Source organism: Homo sapiens, chromosome 7 (assembly GCF_000001405.40).
Source record: "Homo sapiens chromosome 7, GRCh38.p14 Primary Assembly".
NCBI classification, from domain to species: domain Eukaryota; kingdom Metazoa; phylum Chordata; class Mammalia; order Primates; family Hominidae; genus Homo; species Homo sapiens.
Window position 1 is genome coordinate 142,016,293 of NC_000007.14, and position 23,270 is coordinate 142,039,562.

At 39.7% G+C, this 23,270-nt stretch overlaps 1 protein-coding gene across 12 annotated transcripts in view; it reads left to right on the forward strand.

Moving 5' to 3' along the window:
• The window catches only part of MGAM (maltase-glucoamylase), a 120,230-nt gene that overhangs the window by 29,775 nt on the left and 67,185 nt on the right, over positions 1-23,270 (forward strand). For all 12 annotated transcript variants that reach the window (XM_017012772.2, XM_047421011.1, XM_011516672.3 and 9 more), the window contains 16 exons: positions 2,907-3,027; positions 4,682-4,791; positions 5,294-5,445; positions 5,976-6,147; positions 8,758-8,857; positions 10,823-10,935; positions 11,318-11,443; positions 14,070-14,201; positions 14,349-14,465; positions 15,388-15,501; positions 16,533-16,617; positions 17,970-18,087; positions 18,378-18,549; positions 19,877-19,993; positions 20,531-20,685; positions 22,239-22,323. In XM_017012772.2, the coding sequence (XP_016868261.1) occupies positions 2,907-3,027; positions 4,682-4,791; positions 5,294-5,445; positions 5,976-6,147; positions 8,758-8,857; positions 10,823-10,935; positions 11,318-11,443; positions 14,070-14,201; positions 14,349-14,465; positions 15,388-15,501; positions 16,533-16,617; positions 17,970-18,087; positions 18,378-18,549; positions 19,877-19,993; positions 20,531-20,685; positions 22,239-22,323 (1,989 nt within the window). The remainder of the gene's footprint in view (positions 1-2,906; positions 3,028-4,681; positions 4,792-5,293; positions 5,446-5,975; positions 6,148-8,757; positions 8,858-10,822; positions 10,936-11,317; positions 11,444-14,069; positions 14,202-14,348; positions 14,466-15,387; positions 15,502-16,532; positions 16,618-17,969; positions 18,088-18,377; positions 18,550-19,876; positions 19,994-20,530; positions 20,686-22,238; positions 22,324-23,270) is intronic.

Sequence of the window (23,270 nt, forward strand, 5' to 3'; positions counted from 1 at the left end):
GTTGGCGAAAGAGCCTGTATAGCTATTATATAAAAAGTAACATATCTTTCCATCCTTTATGTACATTATCCATCAATTACTCTGGGTGTTCTTAAAATATTCTGTTATGTACTATCTCCCTTAATTTTACCTTGTGATTCTTTAAACTTTTCTTGTATATATTTTGAGTCTTTATTATTAGGTATATATCCAGTTTTAGCTGTAATATCTTGAAACTTTAATCATCATGTACTGACTCTATGTCTCTCTAATAATGAATTTTTACTTAAAGTCTATTTGCCTGATATTAGTATGGCTTTTATTTTATTTTATTGTTTTGAGATGGAGTGCCACTCTGTCACCCAGGCTGGAGTGCAGTGGCACAATCTCGGCTCGCTGCAACCTCTGCCTCCTGGGTTCAAGTGAGTCTCCTGCTTCAGCCTCCTGAGTAGCTGGGACTACAGCCATGAACCACCACAGCCAGCTAATTTTTGTATTTTTAGTAGAGACGGGGTTTCACCATGTTGGCCAGGCTGGTCTCAAACTCCTGACCTCGAGTGATCTGCCTGCCTCCCAAAGTGCTGGGATTACAGGCGAGAGCCACTGCACCCAGCTGGCATTCTTTTTACATATTTGTTTTCCCCTTTACTTTCAGGGCTTTTGTGAGCTTTAGTTTAGGATGTGTAAACTATAAGAAACATTTAGTTGGACTTACTTCTTTAAATGTAATCTGACTATCTTTGTCTTTTAAATATTTAAACCATGTGATAGTTGACATGACACATTCTTTCTAAGGTCTCATTTTGTGCCTTCTCTTCATCCTGTTTATGTGCTAGTCCCCACCCCTACTCCTTCATAAACATGTCTTTTTTCTTAATTTTTTGGATCGAGGATTTCCACACTCCCCACAACTCTAACAATTTTCCTTCAGTACTGTTTTGGTAGTTACACATTCTATATTATTTTGGCAGTTTCTCTTAAATTTTTAATTCTCATATCCAACTTAAAGGGGCATTTTGTGTCCTGGGCCTAATTCTTTTTGTGTGCCCTAATTCTATTCATGCCATCATTTTCTGTAGTTTCTTTCTAAATCTATTTTCCTAGGTTTTACATAGTTTGCTTTGTCTTATTATGTGGGTCTTGCACCATGTCTCTTCCCACTTCTTGCAATGGCTCAGCTCTACTGTAGAAGCTGGCATTTTTGAGTTGGCCAACAAAGACTGTTTGCATTCCTTGCTCTTTTGGCCACTCTGATCTTTGTCCTTTCCAGTTTAATGGAAAAATTATTAAACTCTGGGCTGTATACAAAAACCATCATGCTTAACACCCTTTTCAACACTTTTTTTTCTTTTTATGCTGAGGTTTCCTCTGAGTGGGTTTTACAAGAACAAAGACAAAACCGTGGATTGAGGTTGAGTTCACAGTGACACCTGATCTTACGGCAGTATAAACCACATATGGACATCGTTGTTTATCCCTCATATTGGCTATTAGTGTAAAAAATAGCATTTAATTAAATTTCATTATTTGTATAACTAAGCAAAACATTTTTCTGACCATTTGCAAGGCTGTATTCTCCTGAAAATGTGCTTAGAGATACTCAACCCAGAGTATAGAAAAAAAAGAAATGGATAGTAAGAGAACCAAGTTTTGTTCTTGCCTTCTCAATAGCTGAGTAACCTTTGGCAGGTCACTTTACCTCGGAGAAGCTTTACCACCATGGGCCAAAGGTAATTCATCTGTAAAATGATCTGGTAGGATGTATTAGTTATCTATTGCTGTGTAATAAATTATTCCAAAATTTAATGGCCTAATATGACAAATATTTTCTCACAGCTTCTGTAGTCAGACATCTGACCTTGGCTTAGCTAGGTGCCTCTGGCTCAGTGTCTCTTGGAAGGCTGCAGTCAAAGTGTCTTCCAGGACTATGGGATGATCGTTTTCAAGCTCACTCATGCAATTGTTGGTAGGATTCAGCTCTTCAGGTGTTGTTGGATTGAGAGCCTCAGTTCATTGCTGGCTGCTAGCTGGAGACCTCCCTCAGTTCCTTACCATGTGAGCCCCTCCACAGTGTGACAACTTGCCTCTCCCAGAATGAGGACTCCAACAGAGAAGGTGAAAGAGAGCAAGCAAGACAGAAACTTCAATCTTTCTGTGATCTAATCTTGAAAGCAGCGTCTCATTGTTTTCTCTTGTTTCTATTACTTGCAAATCACTTGATTCAGCATGCACTCAAGAGGAGAGAGTTCTTTGTCCTTTTTTGTATTTAACTTGGTTGCTTCTCCCAAATTAGTTGGTGTGAGAAAGAAACTATCTTCATTTTGGCTTCTACTTGATTCAGTCATTAATTATGTTAGAAGGCACACACCTTTCTTAAGTAAGAATCTATTTGGGTGTCAAGAAAGACTACTTTCTGCCTCTGGAGGAGTTGAGAGACTGTAAACATGTCATATATCTCACATATGTATAATCCATATAAATGTAAGGCATATATTTAAAAGTCAAAACAACATTAGTTTGATTTGAAAGCTTCAGAATACAGATGATTGCAAAGTCTTATTTTCATTTTTAAAAGTCAAAGCCGATATAAATGAAGCTCCATTTGTAATTTTGGATTACTGGTGATATAGCTATATTATTGTTTAGACTATTTAAATATATTTATGAGTTTTTTTTTTTGTGATAAAAGTTATAGAATGCATTTTGCTTCCCATACTGTTACATAAGAAGGACACTGGTCAGAAAAATTGGTTGTGGGTAGAAACTCTGCCATTGCTTGGTATATGGCACAATTTATCTAAATGTCAGTTTCCTTATTTGTAAAATGAAATTATTCATACCAGAGTCTCAAATTAGATGTTTCGTGCTTTATAAATGATCATGTTCTACAACTAAATGGAGCTTCTTTGACTAACCTCTTGTTTCAGGCCACATGTGACCAACGTGGCTGTTGCTGGAATCCCCAGGGAGCTGTAAGTGTTCCCTGGTGCTACTATTCCAAGAATCATAGCTACCATGTAGAGGGCAACCTTGTCAACACAAATGCAGGTAAGCCAGAGTCTGCCATGATGCAGGAGGTCCAGACCCTCTGGAGGTTGACTCTGTATCCCCCAGGGGCAGCCTGCAGAGTTCTGCTCTGTGGGGCCATATAACCACATGTGACAGAAGGTGGGCATTGCTCTTAATCGAGGACTAGAATCTATGTGGGCACCAAGGAAAAATTATTCTCTGCCTTGGGAGTTGAGAGACCATGTCCTCTTTCCAACTTCCCCATTTATGGACCTTCATGACTGCAATAATCATTGATCATTTTTGTTTTCAAGTTTATCCCTTTTAAAGTGGGGGATTTGAAATTGGTAACCTCTCAGACTACTTCCAACTGTAATTTTATGTTATTTTTATGAAATGGAAGTAATTCCAATTTTATAAACATGTTATGAAAGTTACTAGTCAATATAAGTGTTCATGGAGTGAATAGCCCCTCTTCTTCCTCCTACTCTAAAATGCAAAGCATAGGCCAGGCACAGTGGCTCATGCCTGTAATCACAGCACTTTGGGAGGCCGAGGTGGATAGATCACCTGAGCTCAGGAGTTTGAGACTAGCTTGGCCAACATGGCGAAACCCCATCTCTACTAAAAATATAAAAATTAGCCAGGTGTAGTGGCATGTGCCTGTAGTCCCAGCTACTCAGGAGGCTGAGCCAGGAGAATCGCCTGAACCCAGGAGGCAGAGGTTGCAGTGAGCTGAGATTGTGCCACTTCGCTCCAGCCTGGGTGACAGAGCGAGACTCCGTCTCAAAAAAAAAAAAAAAAATGCAGAGTATAATGATGACAATGATGACCATTCTAGGGGATAGCAGAAGGTGACACTTTAGGGAGGCTCTCGGTATAAAGGAGGAGGCATGTTCCCCTTTCAGATGCTCTTGGCCTGATGGACTGTTGCAATGAGGTCTCAACTCTCACCTGGTTTACCATTTAATTAGGGAGATGGCATCAATGGATATAATCACCTGTAATGCAATATGAAAATAACTGAGAAGGAATTATGTATATGTATGTCAGGTCTGAGAATGTAAAGGGTATCTAATTAATACCGAATGACTGATGGGCCTGTGGAATGAGTGTTAGGCTTATTGGGGGAGGTTTTCAATCAGATTTTGTAGAAGAGAGACATAGATTTTTATAAAATGTAATGATGATATCTAGCTCCAGAATCTGCCATAGATAGTATGTGCGTATGATGGGGTATATATCTGTCTTTTCCCTTCTTTTGAGAAATAAAGATTTTTCATCAATCCCTTTGACATGTATCCTAATATATATATATATATATTTTTTTTTTTTTTTTGAGAAGGAGCCTCACTCTGTCATGCAGGCTGGAGCTGTGGTGCGATCTCAGCTCACTGCAACCTCCACCTCTGGGGTTGAAGCAATTCTCCTGCCTACAAAGTAGCTGGGATTACAGGCATGCACCACCATACCCGGCTAATTTTTGTATTTTTAGTAGAGATGGGGTTTCACCACGTTGGTCAGGCTGGTCTCGAATTCCTGACCTTGTGATCCACCTGCCTTGGCCTCCCAAAGTGCTGGGATTACAGGTGTGAACCACTGCACCCAGCCCCGTGTATCATAATTTTTATGTAGCTATTATTTGAGAATTTGCAGAGTCAACTATGAAAACCTTTTTTTTCTCCTATGTTAGGATTCACAGCCCGGTTGAAAAATCTGCCTTCTTCACCAGTGTTTGGAAGCAATGTTGACAATGTTCTTCTCACAGCAGAATATCAGACATCTAATCGTTTCCACTTTAAGGTTGTAATTTGTTTATTTTTTTTTAAGTTTTTTTGAGAGACTTTTATTCCCTATCGGATGAGTGCAGTTACTACAAAATAGAAAATTTTGCTACTGGATGTATTTTTCTATATTGCTATTATTAATTAGCACCTGTATGTTAAAGACATATACAGAATAGCTTCCTTTACTGTAATAACTTCCTGAATATGTATTACAGTTTACTAGTGAGTTTGGCTTTCATTCATTTACTCTAGATAACATGTGGAATATGGTAGGAAGATAAAATAAGGAAGTATCACAGCTTTCAATCCATCTCTGCAGATGTGCTCTGTATGTCTCTACCTAAAGACTAACTTATGCCCAAAGGTGAACCATTTGAGTTTGGTAACATAATGAGTACATCTACCTAAGATATGAGGTCAGTTTGATCAGTGCCTGATTCCAGTATCCTAAGTAGGGATATTGGGAAGCTCTGACAAGTTTTTATTTTGGCTTTCCTTCTATTTCTATCTCTGCACAGTTGACTGACCAAACCAATAACAGGTTTGAAGTGCCCCACGAACACGTGCAGTCCTTCAGTGGAAATGCTGCTGCTTCTTTGACCTACCAAGTTGAAATCTCCAGACAGCCATTTAGCATCAAAGTGACCAGAAGAAGCAACAATCGTGTTTTGTAAGTTTTGGAAACCTATCTAAGGATCAGAGTAGGAAGGTTACAGGGAGGTCTGTAAGCATGAAGAAGGGGGTGTTTCAACAATATTCCTGAAGGTTGTGGGCCCATTATTGGTGACCAGAACCTTTACCTTCTAAAGTATACATTTTTTTCTGGCTTTCTTTCTCTTTCCTCTGTTTGCACAATCATTTTTTTCTCTTTATTTTTCCCTTTATTTCCCTCCGTCTATAATATATAACCAGCTGTCCACCAGTAAATATTTACTGAACATCTCCTATCGTAAGTATAGTGTTCTGGTCATGTAGTAGGCTGTCTGGTCTGGGAGACTAATGCAAGAAATTTGCACATGGTCCCTTTCTTCAAGGAGTCCTTATCTCTTGTTTTCCATAGAAAAATGTCACAGGAGGGCAAATGGGACTGAATGAATGGGGGCTATTGAGTCACTGAGATATAAAGGACGCTTTTCTAAGCACTTACGTTCTCTCCACCCTGCTTGCTCACCCATCCTTGTGTTCTCCACCTGTGTCTAGGTTTGACTCGAGCATTGGGCCCCTACTGTTTGCTGACCAGTTCTTGCAGCTCTCCACTCGACTGCCTAGCACTAACGTGTATGGCCTGGGAGAGCATGTGCACCAGCAGTATCGGCATGATATGAATTGGAAGACCTGGCCCATATTTAACAGAGACACAACTCCCAATGGAGTAAGCTTTCAAATGGGCCCCTTTCCACTGAATATCATAGTCTCATTCTTAAAGGTCACCTCTAGTATTACAGTGTAGTGTTTAAGAGTTAGAGTCTAGAGTGAGACTACCTGGCTTTGAATTCTAGTCTTGCTATTCACCAGTTACGTGGTTCTGGGTGTTACCTACCTCTCTGTCTTCAGTTTCTTATCTATAAAATGGAAGTAATATCTCAATAGGGTTGTGGTGAGGATGAAATGAACAGATACATGTAATGTATCTAGAAGAATGGCTGCCAGAAAGAAGGTACTCAATAAATGCCAACTCCTTCATATTTTCCTAACCAGATATGGAGAAGATATTATTAATATCTGTACTCTCAACAACAGTTGATTGTGATCTCCATATTTTTAGGTTCACCTTTAATCACTGACTCACCAGGTTTATCATCACAATAGGATAAAGTCTCAGCTAAAACAATCATTTTTTGTATAAAGAATGATTGTGGTAGTGAAAGAATAGACAGAGTTTTGTTGTTATTGTTTTATTTTATTTCCACTTTGTTTTGACTGCTAAAATTTGAAGTAACATTGTTTTCTGGATTTGGCAATACTCTGTTGTTCAGGGCCTTTCTTTTTCTTTTCTTCTTCTCTCTTTGTTTGAGATGGGGTCTCACTGTCACCCAGGCTGAAGTACAGTGGCACAACCATGACTCACTTTAGCCTCAACCTCTCTGGGCTCAGGTAACCCTCGTACCTCAGTGTCTGGAGTAGCTGAGACTAAAGGTGCGTGTCACCATGCCTGGCCAAATTTTTGTATTTTTTTTGTAGAGACTGTGTTTCGCCATGTTGTTCAGGCTGATCTCAAACTCCTGGACTCAAGCAATCCTCTGGCCTTGGTCTCCCGTAAGTGCTGGGATTACAAATGTGAGCCACTGTGCCCAGCTGGGCTTTCTTGACTAAGCAGAATTAATGGATGGAAGAAAGGAGATTACAGCAATAATTTATTAGTCATATATATATATATATACACACACACACACATACATGTTTGTGTATATATATCTATTTAGCCATAGAGTCTAGAAAATATAATAATTTCTTGTTAGAAAAAACCAAGGCCCAGCGAAGCCAAATTAATAGCTCAAGGCAAAAGGGTTTGTAAGAACAAGAATGGCCTGAACCCGGGAGGTGGACCTTGCAATGAGCCGAGATCGCGCCACTGCACTCCAGCCTGGGTGACAGAGCGAGACTCTGTCTCAAAAAAAAAGAGGTTGTAAGAACAGAGGAAGAATCTAATCCCTACTCTGTGTAATTTTTAAGCCCAGGCTCTGTACTGTACATATGCCTATCAGAAAAGCAGAAAAGCTGTTAAGTCAGAGCAGCTTACCTAGGAATAGTTGGTGACAGTTGTTTCATTAAGGAGCCTCAGATCCTTGCTTCTCAAAGTGTGTATGTGGCAGGGGAACCACCCTCTGAGAGAGGTGGGCTTTCAGTCCCTTCTTCCATCTATTGAATTAAAATCTGCATTTAGGGCTGGGAGCAGTGGCTCACGTCTGTAATCCCAACAGTTTGGGAGGCCAAGGCGTGTGGATCATTTGAGGTCAGGAGTTCAAGATCAACCTGGTGAAACCCTGTCTCTACTAAAAATACAAAAAATTAGCTGGGCATGGTGGTGGCGGGTGCCTGTAGTCCCAGCTACTTGGGAGGCTGAGGCAGGAGAATGGCATGAACCCAGGAGGCAGAGCTTGCAGTGAACCGAGATTGAGCCGCTGCACTCCAGCCTGGGTGACAGAGTGAGACTCCATCTCAAAAAAATAAAATAAAATAAAAACCGAAACAAAAATTAGCCAGGCGGTAGTGGCACACGCCTGTAATCCTAGCTACTCAGGAGGCTGAGGCAGGAGAATTGCTTGAGCCTGGGAGGTGGAGGTTACCGTGAGCCAAGATCACACTACTGCACTCCAGTCTGGGCGACAGAGTGAGACCCTGTCTGGAAAAAAAAAAAAAAAAATCTGCATTTAACTAAAATGCCCATGTAGTTTGCAGATACACCAAATTTTGAGAAACACTTTTCCAGAGCAATAGTTATCAAATGTGACTACATGTTGAAGTTACCTGGGGAAGTTAAAAAATAACAGCCATGTCTGCTTCTACCTCTAGGGATTCTGTTTTAATTGGTCTGGGGTGCAGTCTAGGTTGAGAACTCCTGTTCTGGAGTCTCAAAGACAAGCCTAGACTAGAGCTCCATCTAGTTACCTGATTCATATTAAAGCATATTGATGGAGCTTTTGCTGATGAGGTTAAGTCAGGTTAAGACAGGCCTCTTTGAGAGGGCAGTTTTTCTGAATTACATTTTAAAAATTCCTATCCTCTTACCTTCTAAAAAATATCACAGCCTTCACATTCCTTCTAGATGAATGATAATAGCTGGCTCATTCTGTAAGAAAACATGAGTTCACTTGGTTAACATCAACTAGATATAGACCCCATCTTTTAAAAATGTGTCTTTATGACCCTGAATGTCCTGTCAATTAGTTGCATGATTAAGACTGATTTCCTAAACCAACCCCACAGTGTGATGCTGAGACTTCTTAGTTGTAAATTTTGGTTTTTAATTCTCTTTCTGCAGAACGGAACTAATTTGTATGGTGCGCAGACATTCTTCTTGTGCCTTGAAGATGCTAGTGGATTGTCCTTTGGGGTGTTTCTGATGAACAGCAATGCCATGGGTAAAGGAATATTCATGGAAAAAACAAGCACAAGAGTGATTTTCAGTCCCTTTCTTACAGCACTATGATAAAAGGAATGGATCCCTTTAAGAGTGACTGAGCCATAGTGTAGGGAGGGCCTTATAGATTCTCTAATTGTGCTATCCCTACTTCATTACCTATTGATCCATGGTAGCCATGAGTAGGGGATTTTCTCCAACTTATGATTTTCCTGAATCTGGTGGCCTCTGTTGGAATATTTTCTATTATCAAGTTAAGGAGCTCACCCTTCCCTATAATTTACTCTGAGATAGTTTCCACCAATGTGTTCTTCTCCGTCTTCAGCCCTGTAGTCAGTAGATCCCAGTGGCAATGAATTGCCATAGGGGAAGAGAAGATGTATCAGAATCTCCCAGGATTGATGGTGGGCATAGGGTATTGATCCATACCTTTTCTTAATTGAGAGTCATCGATTCAATCAGTGCTCCTCAAAGTGTGGTCCCTGAATGGGTCACAGACTGTTTCAGGTCTATAGTAAGATGAGTATAGAAATGGCGAGTAAGCAATGCTGTAGCCTCCACACGCACACATGAACCTTTTTCTAGTAATTAATTTTCATATTATTTTATGAAAATATCAGCTTGCAGTGAAATGGAAATTAAACAAAATAAAGATCTGATTCTCCACCACAGATATCCGAGAAGCACTCTAAATGATCTAACATGATTCTAGGACATCTAAGAGATGAATCTAAGACGATTCTAATAGAATCTTAGATGGTCCTAAGGTACTTAAAATACCAAATAACCTAAGAATAGACTGAGATAATATAATAGAAAGACTGTACAGTTTTAGATAGGTGAAAGGAACCAGAAAATAAGATGAGTCAGACTTAGTGGGAAAGGCCACAAGATCCTAGATACTCTGTATGAGTTGTTCCTATGACCAAAGAGTACATTGCAATATTTCTTGAGGCATTTTATTCCTAGATACGAATCAAGGTAATGACACAACTTTTAAGAATGGTGATTGGCACATAGAAGGGTTTTGAATTTATGATACAATTTCTGACTTTTTTTTTTTAGTTTGGCTTTTGTTTGAGGTGAGATTCACTGAGGTTAGTTACCTCCATGTCTAGTTGAATTATATTCTCACAATAATGACGGGGTATGTGGTGGGACATGTTCTGTGGTTATGAAAGTCAGAGAGGAGAAACTTTTCCTCTAACCTCTTAGGGTTAATTCTTGGGAGGCTGCAAATTAAACTGGCAAAAAGGTAGATTAGCAATAGAAAAGACAGAATTTATTTACACATACAATGCACATACACACAGCAATTCTCAGTGATGAGTAACTCAAAGCAGAGATTAGAACTTGGGGCTTCTATACCATCTTAATTAATAGGTGAAAGGGAATGGGGAAAGACACTTAGGAGAGAACAAATGACATTTTGGAAAGATAAATGGGCCCTTAGGAGAGTAGGTGGGAGGATGTGATAGTCTTGTAACACTGTTTATCTGGGAATGGTGCCTGTTGTCTCAGAGAAGACTAGAGGTACTCCTTGGAGCAGATTTATGACAATTGCTTTTTATTGAGTTCTTTTGGGAGGCTCTGATTTTAGCACATCAGGGATTTCAGTAACTTAAATGCCTTTGGTCCAAAATAATTTTTTTATGTCACAGTGGCTTATTCTGGACCCCTTCATAAGCCTGGCTGCTTTTTCCCCAGAACCTGGGGCCTGGCACAAGACACTAAGACACTCCAGTCAGTATTATTAAAATCTGTCACAGAAAAAATGCCTTGGCTGCCATGTGCTGTGAGGGTGGACTTGGATGGTCAGGGTTTTCACTTGGTATTCAAAATGTGAGGCACTAGGGTCACCTTGTTAATGTTCACATGGTTAGTGATCCTGTGTTATTTTAAAACTTGTAGTTACTATTCAAGAATCAATTCTGATTTTTATTTTCTTCATTTTTAACCTTTCAAGAGGTTGTCCTTCAGCCTGCGCCAGCCATCACTTACCGCACCATTGGGGGCATTCTCGACTTCTATGTGTTCTTGGGAAACACTCCAGAGCAAGTTGTTCAAGAATATCTAGAGGTAAACTTAGGATGTCAAGATTATGACTCAGGAAATCCTAAACAGCAAATATTTTAAAAAAGTAAAATTCATGTGCAAGTGTGACCCACAAAATCTGCTGTTACAAATTTGAGATATTAAAGAACAGATTTCATATATGCAATGGAAACTTGCTGTATAGCATTTTTATGTTATAAGAAGGTGAGAGAATATAAAGGTGCCCCAAACATGGCCCTACCCTCAAACATTTATGAAGGGGCTGGAAAAATAGACTAACATTCTAACATTAATGAATCAGTGCATTGGGAAATGGACTATGTTTGGTGCTCTGAAAGCAATGCTTCGAAAAATTTTTATTAAAAACAGAGTATTTGCTAATTTTCACTTCACATATTTCTTTCAGCTCATTGGGCGGCCAGCCCTTCCCTCCTACTGGGCGCTTGGATTTCACCTCAGTCGTTACGAATATGGAACCTTAGACAACATGAGGGAAGTCGTGGAGAGAAATCGCGCAGCACAGCTCCCTTATGTAAGCAAGGTTTTCAACAGTTCTCCAAAAGTAAAGAAATTCCCTTGAAGAAAAAGAAAAACTGTTTATATTTTCTCTCCCTGAGTTTAATTGATTTATTTATTTGGTAATGAAAGGAGTTTTAGATATTCAGAATACTAGACATTTTTTTTTTTGTTGGACCAGTAATTTTTTCAAGGAACCATTGTTCTTTATAGTATGAAATAGATTGGGAGACCATAATTATGTGTTGGGAGGCAATCTGTTTTTGTCTCTATTTTTCTTATTATGTATTTTATTAGTAAACTTTTTTTGTGCTTACTGTATTGACTACATTTTACAGGTGTTTTTATTTGAGTTTTCAAGGCATTTGTCTCTTTAGCTTGAATTGTAGCATTTTAATGCTTCTCAGTATGGATTTTCTTGCCTTACACATGTTCTTGGTTTGCTTTGACTCAAAAGTGTCATGGCAGGGACTTACCATAAAAGTTGTATCATATTTTCAGAAATTCCTCTAAGATTCTGGCATAAGATTTCATGTCTAAATTCTTAGGTTCTTAGGTTTAGTGTCAGGTCAAGAATGATGCAGATCCCCAGGCTCCCTACCTATGTTTTAACAGATATTTTAAAGAGGAATTGAGGAAGTGGAGTAGTTCTAGACCCCATGAATTTAGTTCAAACTAATTATATTGCTAGAACAACCATGAGCCATCTGGGTTAGCATCATTTTTTTTCACAGATAGTAAATTGAGGCTGTCAGGGGAAATACTATGACCAAGACCACATAGGTAATTGATGACAGAACAAATACTGCATGTGACTACATGGATGTGAAAAATAATACAAGTTTCAGGTCCATGTGTTTTTACATTGATATTTTGATTACTATTAAATTGGGAATAAGCAAAATTTGCCTTTCTCTTTAGAGTGGTCATTTTGCCATTGAAGCTGAGCTTCAGTAGACATTTTGTAATTTGACGGAAAGATAGTCCATAAATATGATGTGTAAAAGAAAGTGCTTAATGGAATTGAGATTCAAAAAGCCTAGGAACACTGAGGAGATGGGGGAAGCAGAAAGTCAGGGCAGATAAAGACGTTTGGGTGGATGAATTCACTCTCAATTTGGCTGCGAGTCCCACTACTCATTCTCCAGCATGACGTGTCTTTATGCATGTGGGGGTGGGTTGGGGGAGGGATAACAGAAAAAGTGGTAAAAGCAGGACTGAGCCAAAGGACAATTAACACAGCCACCATAATAATGAGTGCTACAACGTGGTGAACTCTCGTGGCAGGCAGTGTGCTACATGCCTTCTTTAGTTATCTCAGCAACTCCATTTTACTATTAGAATTCCATTGGCTGGGCACAGTGGCTCACACTTGTAATCCCAGCACTTGGGAAGCCAAGGCAGGCAGATCACGAGGTCAGGAGTTCGAGACCAGCCTGGCCAACACAGTGAAACCCCGTCTCTACTAAAAATACAACAACAACAAAAAAATTAGCTGGGCATGGTGGCAGGTGCCTGTAATCCCAGCTATTCGGGAAGCTGAGACATGAGAATCACTTGAACCCTGGAGGTGGAGGTTGCAGTGAGCTGAGATCGTGCCACTGTATTCCAGCCTGGGCAACAGAGCTAGACTCAGTCTTGAGGGAAAAAAAAGGACTCCATTTAAGATTAGAAATCCCATTTAATATTAGAAAACTAGGGGAACTAGTTTTCAAGCCCAGATCTCTAACATCATAGAGGTCATCTCTTTTTTTATGCCATTTTCCTTACTTATAGATAGACATTTCCTTTTTAAGTGATCCAGGAAATGAAAGAATTGGACTGTTACTGCTGCCTAGTGGTGTGAGATGTGAGAGGGAGTGTTTAGACAGGGAATTGAACACTATTACCTGAGTTCAGTATACATGTCAAAATCTGTCACATTTAAGTGAATGAAAGGATATAGTATGGACATGTAATAAAACATTTTTGTACTTTGAATGGCTAAGTTTGAATGTACCTATGATATTGGATACTATTGGGAGTGAAATTTAACAAGAGATGCAAAGGGAAAAGCTCAGTAGTCTTCTAGAATAATCCTCTTCTCTCCCCCACTCTATTCCATTGGAGACAAACCTAGGTTGTAGAGAAGGGTACATTTTATTCTGGGCTTCACTGTTTATACAGGTAAAATTGGGATAGCATAAACAACAAAGATGTGGGGTAGAAGCGAAGTAACAAAATAAAATGTGGGGTAGTAAAATGAGGGAGATGTGGGAGAGAGACAGTCTCTTCCCTTCTTTATCTTGTGAATAGGGTGAAATTTAGGTCATTTCTTAGGTGGATATGTCTGATTGTCTTAGGGGTTTGTCATAATTGGTGTTGCTTGCTTGATTGGTTTTTAATGCCAGAGTGCCAGGCAAGGATTGGATGATGCAGTTAACCTGATGGCAGGGAGGGGGCCAAGCCCTAGGGAACCAACCAGTCGTGTGTTTTTGAAATCAACATTGGAAAAGAAGTACTCAGATGCCAGGAACTGATTAAGAACTCTATTTAGAGCCCAGAACAGAGTTGTTTATCCTGAATAATAACAGTGAAAATTTGATTTCATTTTACTATGGAAATTCCTAGGTGCTAATTGTGGACTTTGTATATTCTTTCAGGATGTTCAGCATGCTGATATTGATTATATGGATGAGAGAAGGGACTTCACTTATGATTCAGTGGATTTTAAAGGCTTCCCTGAATTTGTCAACGAGTTACACAATAATGGACAGAAGCTTGTCATCATTGTGGTATGTACTGCCCTCTTTCCACCAAATTAGGTATTTGCTCCTCCGTATCATACACCCATCTCTCCTGCTTTCTCCCCCAGTTCCCAGTCTCCTTTCAGTGCCTCCGGTTTCCAGCTAGTTTGTTCATTGTATTCTTCCTATTTTTAGGATCCAGCCATCTCCAACAACTCTTCCTCAAGTAAACCCTATGGCCCATATGACAGGGGTTCAGATATGAAGATATGGGTGAATAGTTCAGATGGAGTGACTCCACTCATTGGGGAGGTAACTTAATGGGAAGGCTGGAGGCTGGTGGAGGGGCTGCATAGGGGTGTTTGAATGTGTCTGTGTGTGTGTGTGTGTGTGTGCATGTAATTGTTTTATTGTACATTTTCAGTATATTTATATATGCTGGGGATAAATTCTCCTCTGCCCTTTCATGCCCAAGTGCAAGCCGGCCATCGTAGCTTTTTGATTCCCTTCACAGCCAAGTAAGTCCCTTTAAACAACAGCTCACACACTGAGTGTCCACTTTCTCACCTCCCACACACTCTGCAGCTGACTGTGGTCTCCTTCCTTCCCCCCTCACTTCCCTGATACCGCTCTGGCAAAAAGCACCCGTTACTTTCTCACTGGTAAGTCCAGCGGAACTGTTTCATACCTCTTCTTACTCAATTTTCCTGCATTATTTGACAAGTGTACCCACTTCTTTCTCAAATGTTTGTTTGTCCTTGTTTTTTCAGGAAGGTGTTATCTGCTTGTTCACTTCTAAGGCCTCTGATGACCTTTTCAGAGTATAGTGTCTGGGGGAAATTGGATAGGAAAGAAAGAGAGAAAAGTAAATGATGTTAGAATCCACAGCTTATAGTGGACTAGCTGAAATTTACACAATGCTCTTCCCCCATTTACTATTCCCAGAATTAAGAACAAAGAAGTGTAGAGAGTTAAAGATGACTAAGTTAGACAATGCCTTTATCCACGAATTTATTCATTAAGGACTTAAACATTTTTTTAAATGCATATTTCTTCGAGTGACCCTGGCATTTATTTTAAGTATTGTGAGCACCGCACCTTCTTAACTAAAAAGGATATGTTCCTGGGTACCTCGGTTGCTGTGATCATATTAGGAATTTCTTTGCAAAGTACTTTCCTTTAGTCTATATTTGTTTAATTTACTCTTACCAGTGTTTTTCTTTTTCTCCTGAAGGTCTGGCCTGGACAAACTGTGTTTCCTGATTATACCAATCCCAACTGTGCTGTTTGGTGGACAAAGGAATTTGAGCTTTTTCACAATCAAGTAGAGTTTGATGGAATCTGGATTGTGAGTTGTTTACACTTGGATTATTAGGTGACAAATATTCAAATTGTGTATATCTGTATCTGTATCTTTGAGTCACAGAGCATAGGGAGAGGAGGAGGAGAAGAAAGGAAGTATAACAATCACTCTCAATATTCACTCTCTTACTATTTAAATAATCTTGCTAAAACACATAGCTTAGAATAAAAATCAAAATGTTAGAGCTGAAAGGAAACTCAGAATTTTTTTTCCCAAGTCTAGCTCTTTTTTTTTTTTTTTTTTTTTACGAAGGAATGAGCTGAAGTCAGAATAGGTCATGTACTCCTTACATTGTTGCAAAGTATACAAATTGTTCAATTGCTAGTTGAAGACTCTTCCTTTTGGACATGTTGAACAAATTGATCAGAGCCAAAGTACTCAGGTGCATGAACAAACTATGCCTGTGGTAAAGAAAAATGTCTCATATGATGTCAGATGAAAGAAAGTAACCTAACTGAGGGTTAGCAAAATTTAGGGAGCTCCAGAGTTGAAACTTTTTCTTTTTCTAAGAGAACTGTAGAAAATTCAAACAATACAGAGAGTTAAAAAGATAAAAGCAAAAATCCTCTTAAATTATAGCAACTAAAGACATTTATTATCGATACGTTGGAATGCATCTTTCTAGACCTTTATGTGCTCTCTCTCTCCTTTTCTCTCCACATATATGTTTATATGTATTTATATGTATATGTATTTACAGTTATATTTCGATATATGGAAAAATGTATAAGTTGAAACATGTCATCATATAAATTGAAACTTTTTTCACCTGATATGTTTGGGAATTGTTCATTTTCAGCGATTATAGACATATTATTTGAAGAGAGGTTAAGAACCTTCTTCATGAAGCCTTCAGTGGGTAGACAAGACAAGAACACCTACTCTATTCCATTTATACAAATACCCCTTTAAAATATCTGGAATAATTTATCTGATTAATTAAAAAAAGACACCATCACGACATCATAAGATAACATGTTACTTTTTCTTAATAGTTTTTGCTCTTTGTCTTGTAGGATATGAATGAAGTCTCCAACTTTGTTGATGGTTCGGTCTCAGGATGTTCCACAAACAACCTAAATAATCCCCCATTCACTCCCAGTAAGTCTTGGTGGTCAGCAGATTAAAGTAGCCATATGTATTTCATATTATAAATTCATAAGGACAGATCTGAAAAATCTGGCAAGGGAATTTGTTCATAATTGTGCATAGAAAAAGAAATATGTGGGTAATATATAAGGAAAACTAGGAAGGAAAATAAAAACACACTATGCTTTCCTAAAACATGCACAAATTCAAAAGGGGCAATCTAGTACTTCTACTTATACTCAAAGCTATTTCTAGGGAAGATCTAGAGAGGATAAAGTGTAGAGGCCAGAGGCTAGTGGTAAGTTTATGTCATTCTCAGGTATGCACCCACAGGCCAGGGTTTACCAGAGAGACACCAGGTAACCAGCCTTGGTCATCAGGTAAGGGTTATGTCTGATGTGTCCACAGTGTGAAGAACTGAGTTACAGGATGAAAAGACAGAACTCATGACCTGGGAGGTCAAAGTCAGTGAACGTGATGATACTCAGCTTTGATTGAACTTTGGACAACACTATCTCTCAGGGTGTGGCCTTGGCATCATAGCATCGGCCATAGTTTGAAGAATGCTAGAGGTTCAAGGACAGATTATATCTTGATTGAGAAAGGAAAAAACTGCTAAGATGATAATAACTTATGAAGGCTTCAATATGGTGGGAAGACAGGAAATTGGGGCAGGAAGGTTAGAATCAAATGCTGAGGGGCTTGGATGAGAGGCTAAACAGTTCATATTTTACTCTTTTGGTGTTAGAAGCTACTTATCTTTTAGTAATAGAGAAGCATGGTAGTCAGATGATTTTGGAAATATGAACCTGACATTAATATATAGTGTGAACTAGAAATAGATACATAGGAGGTAAATAAGACATGACGAAGCTACTGCAATAGTTAAGATCCACAGATAATGTGGATCTCAAACAGAGTGGTGCAATGGGAGCAGAGAGGAATAGATGAATACAGGAGAGACTGGAAATCATTCTCTACAATATATGATCAGGGGAGAGAAGGAGTCAGAAATTAATTTACACTTTCATTCAGTATTTCCATTCTTGGACCACTTAACTTAGCTCAGTTTGGAGAATTCAGATTGAACCTCAGGCCTGAATGAATCTTCTTACTTCCAAGTGTCTGCCTCTAATCACGTGAGAGCTCCAGTGGGAGGATGTGTGTGGGTCAGCAGAATTCATTTATATATCAGAGAAACTACTCCAAGTGGATAGCATTCTAATAGTAAGGGAGCAGTGTGACTGTTTACAGGATGCCCACAAAAGTGCCTGCCCAGGGGGCTGTCATTTCGGATTGTGATAGTCAAGGAGCAGAAAATGTGCAACTTAGGCTCTCACTGATTGATCCTGCTTTTGTTTCAGGAATCCTGGATGGGTACCTGTTCTGCAAGACTCTCTGTATGGATGCAGTGCAGCACTGGGGCAAGCAGTATGACATTCACAATCTGTATGGCTACTCCATGGCGGTCGCCACAGCAGAGTAAGGCCACTATGGCTATGACCTGCTAATTATTGAATATAAAGAATATATATATGTTTTTAATTCTTGGAGATTATGGGGCTAATGCATAAAATTTCTTAAGACAAAACAAAGCAAAACAAAACATTTAATGATACAGAATGCTCCCAACAGGGACTCTAATTGTACCGAAAGAGAGTTGGAAGAGAATGGGTTATTCACTTTTAATGTCTTTTGTATTGTTGCTGTATCCCCTTGGCTGAGACAAGCTAAGATCCCACATTGACTCCTTAAATCTCTCTCCCTTGCAGAGCTGCCAAGACTGTGTTCCCTAATAAGAGAAGCTTCATTCTGACCCGTTCTACCTTTGCGGGCTCTGGCAAGTTTGCAGCACATTGGTTAGGAGACAACACTGCCACCTGGGATGACCTGAGATGGTCCATCCCTGGCGTGCTTGAGTTCAACCTTTTTGGCATCCCAATGGTGAGCTGCTACCTCAAGCTCTCTTATGAACCTGAATTCCCAGGCAACCTCATTCTAGAAAGTTTTCAAACCACAAAGCTCCCCTCTCCTGCCTGCCATGGCTGGGGATTTAATATCTTGAGAGCATGTGCTTCATCCACATCAGCAGGGCTTTGATACCATGACATTCTTTCCTGTACTGCCTTATGAAGACAGAACGTGCAACTTTGATATGTGCTGGAATATATCTTTCTATTAAAGTGTAACATACTTTATACAGAAAAGTGTATGTATCCTTAAGAACACAGCTGATGAATTTCACCACCTGAACACATCTGTGTATCTAGTACCAAGATGAAGAACTATAACATTGCCAGCACCCTACAGTCTTTGGCATTTTTTAGTTAAATCCAACATATTTATGAATTGAACTCCTAGAGTGTTCAAGGTCTTGAGCAGAGTAGGCATGGTGAGAGGGAAGGAAAGCATAAATATAGTAAAGATGTACCTTCTCTTTGCCCCAAGGGTTTACAGTTTAGTAAGAGGAGACAGATGTGTAAACAAATAATTGTGACAAACTAGGGTAAAAAGACCAACAGGGACGTATGAGTTAAATGTTATGGGAGATCCCGAGAAAGGGATTTATCTGACAAAATTATGAGGGACAAAAGGAATCAAGGCAGGGAGTCAAGGACACTTCATGGAAAAGATGACATTTGAGATTAACCTTGAAAAGTGAGTATTTTTTCATCTGACTAATCAGGGGGGAAGTTCATTTTAACACTGAGAAATAAAAATGAGCACAAACAGTATAAGGGGGATTATTTGATGTATCTATAAGGATTGGTGTGTGGGACTGGAATGAGAAATGATGCTAAAAAGATGGGTTGGAACCAGGTTTTAAAGATCTAAAAGGTTGAACAGCAAGGAAGTCCCGGAGATTTTTTAATAGGTGAGTGACATGGTCAGACTTAGGCTTTAGAAAAATAATGCTGATAGTGGTGAGGTCAAAATAATAATATCAGCAGTATTACTAGGTACTATGCATCCAAAAGCTCTTTATGTAAAGTGTATTACTTTTATTACCTCATTCATTTACGAAATACCTGTGTAGTAATTTAGTACTCACTGACAAAATGAGGAAATTGAGGCACAGAAGGGTTAGGTAACTTACTCAAAGTCATCCAGCATTCAAGAGTGGACACAGGCTATGACCAAATTTTGACCACCCTCCTAGCCTTCTCGGTAGGAGGTTTAAGCAAGGTTCAGTTGGGAGGTCCCTGGTGGAAAGCAAAGGAGGGTGGTTAGAAGGAAGTGAGGTATACCTGTTGTCTGTGTGTCCTTCCAGGTGGGTCCTGACATATGTGGCTTTGCTTTGGACACCCCTGAGGAGCTCTGTAGGCGGTGGATGCAGTTGGGTGCATTTTATCCGTTTTCTAGAAATCACAATGGCCAAGGCTACAAGGTAAGGCTCCTAGGACATAGAGTCAGAATAAATTTGGCATACATTAGGACTAGATCTGTCTGCATCCTTGCCAAGAGATCTGCTGAACCAACCTCTTACCTGGTCTTCACTTACTCTAATTTGCACTATCATGTGCAATTAACCAGAATCTGTGCTGTATCATCGAAATGCCCAACGGCCTCAGCCTGTTATTTACTGTTGCATTCAAGGAAATGGTGTGTCTGTAAAGGTCTTTCATCAAACTTCTGTACGCTTTATCTACATTGTTTGCTTTTAAATAAGAAGCAAACAAGGAAATACTTCAAAATTATTTAAATTGCAGCCTCCCAAGAGAGGAATCTTAAAGAATGAGGAAGGCAGGTTGAATCGAAAACTCAAGGAGAGACACTTGGTACTACTCAGAAGCGAGGTTTGCAACCTTGGCCTCTGTCATTCAGGAGGGAAATTCTTGGTTGTAATGAATGAGGTCTGGAATTCTGCAGGTGCTTCTGCTATCCTGCAGCCAAACCACAACTGCAAACTCCTATTTCCTCCCAGGACCAGGATCCTGCCTCCTTTGGAGCTGACTCCCTGCTGTTGAATTCCTCCAGGCACTACCTTAACATCCGCTATACTCTATTGCCCTACCTATACACCCTCTTCTTCCGTGCTCACAGCCGAGGGGACACGGTGGCCAGGCCCCTTTTGCATGAGTAAGTTCACCTAACCTCCTTAAATTTTATTAATGCATCTGGAATGACATTGACTATATCATCAAATATCAGAGTGAAAACTGAAACAATTCAGGCAGTTATTCATATCTATCTGTATCTATATCTGTAATCTAGCTATCTATATTCATTAATCTATCTATCTATCTATCTAACTGGAATACCTAGTTGGTATTTGTAAGCATCGCCTGTTCCCTTTTGGTGAGAGAATTAGACTAAAAGTCATGGGACTACAGGTCTTTTCTTTGTTCTGCCATTCACTAACTCTGTATCTTAGACAAATCATTTTTTCCTTAGTTTCTTCAGTCTTAATTCAAAGGATTTGAAATCTTGACTGTGATGGTCTCATCTGTAATGCACTATAATGCCAGAACTATGTTCAAGCTGTAGGAATGAGCCTATAATACAAATACAAATGAGGATATTATAAAGGATTTGTAGAATTTCAGAATTCTTATTTCTCAGGCAATGAACATCTCTAATTTAATTCTAAAACAAGGCACTTAAGAGCATTTTCTTGTCAAAATACAGTCAACTCCCTTATGTGGGTGACATATGAGGCCCTCAGGCACGTATCAGGCTATTATATATTCATTATTTTGGGAAGTTTTTGTCTGCTCATGAAATTTCTTGTTAAAAGGCAGATATTCTGAAAGAGAAAAAAGTAAAATGTTAAATTATCTGATATTTTGTATGATCAGATCCAGTTTCTTGATAGTCAGCTGAAGTTATGAAATGTATTGATTATTTAAGTTTTTAATTTTAAATTTTTGTTGGTACATAGTAGTTGCATATATTTATGGGGTATATGAGATGTTTTGATATAAGTGTGCGATGTGAAATAAGAACATTATGGGAATGAGGTATCCATCCCCTCGAGCATTTATCCTTTGAGTTATAAAGAATCCAAGCACACTCTTTAAGTTACTTTTAAATGTACGATTAAGTTATTATTGACTATAGTCACCCTATTTTGCTATCAAAAGGTAGGTTTTATTCATTCTTTCTAACTATTTTTTTTTGTATCTGTTAACCATCTTGACCTCCCTCCCAGCCCCTCACTACCCTTCCCAGCCTCTGGTAACCGTCCTTCTACTCTCTGTGTCCATAAGTTCTTGGCTTTTAGATCCCACAAATAGGTGAAAACATGTGATGTTTGTCTTTATATGCCTGACTTATTTCATGTAACGTAATGATCTCCAGTTCCATCCGTGTTGATGCGAATGTCCGGATCTCAACTTACTTTTTTTAAAAAGGAGGGCTATGGAAAATAGAATTACAGCCTGGGACCTGCCTAGCATACATACTGGAATAGAAACATCTGTTTATCCTGAGGGAAGAATAGGAGACATGAGCTGGGGAAGGGGAATCTGTCTAGGGGTGCAGAGGGGCTTGAGTAGGTGTCACAGAATAATTTGGGGGGTTTGCCTGGGCAGACGGCCTGCATGCTTTCAACAGGTTGTGTGTGAGTAGAGCTGCTACAAATCTCATTGGCAGTGGCTCAAATCTCAGTGAACTGTCTCTCTGGTTTTCAGGTTCTACGAGGACAACAGCACTTGGGATGTGCACCAACAGTTCTTATGGGGGCCCGGCCTCCTCATCACTCCAGTTCTGGATGAAGTAAGTGTTCCCACAGAGATACACTAGAGATCTCTGCATCTGTATCTGCTGCCCTGCAAACTCCTCTCTGCTTCTTATTCCAAACTCACTTCTGACATCTGTGACTGAGTCAGCCTTGAAGAGAGTGTGCTAGGTTTTGAGAAGCTAGACATCTGGTAACTACACATTTTTCTTTCTAGAATTTCTTTTTTCTCTTGATCAAGTTCCCAACCAGTTTAGAAGCATCTACTGGAAACTCTAGAGTTACAAGTTATGTTAGGTTGTTCTTGCATTGCTATACAGAAATTCCTGACACTGAGTGATTTACAAAGAAAAGAGATTTCATTGGCTCACAGTTCTGAAAGCTTTACAAGAAGCATGATGCTGGTATCTGTGCAGCTTCTAGGGAGGCCTCAGGAAGCTTACAGTCATGGAGGAAGGTGAAGAGGAGCAGCGATGTCATATAGCAAAAGCAGGAACAAGACGGGGTGGGGGGAGTTGCCACACACTTTTTTTTTTTTTTTTTTTTGAGATGGAGTCTCACTCTGTCACCCAGGCTGGAGTGCAGTGGCACAATCCCAGCTCACTGCAACCTCCAACTCCTGGGTTCACATGATTCTCCTGCCTCAGCCTCCTGAGTAGCTGGGGTTACAGGCACCTGCCACCAAGCTCGGCTAATTTTGTATTTTTTGTAGAGACGGGGTTTCATGTTAGCCAGGCTGGTCTCAAACTGCTGACCTCAGATGATCCACCTGCCTCAGCCTCCAAAGTGCTGAGATTACAGGTGTGAGTCACCGCGCTTGGCCGCCACACACTTTTAAACAACCAAATCTTACAAGAATTCACTCACTATCACCAGGACAGAACCAAGGGAATGGTGTAAACCATTCATGAGAAATCTGCCCTCATCATCCAGTCAGCTCCCTCCAGGCCCCACCTCCAACACTGGGGATTACATTTCAACATGA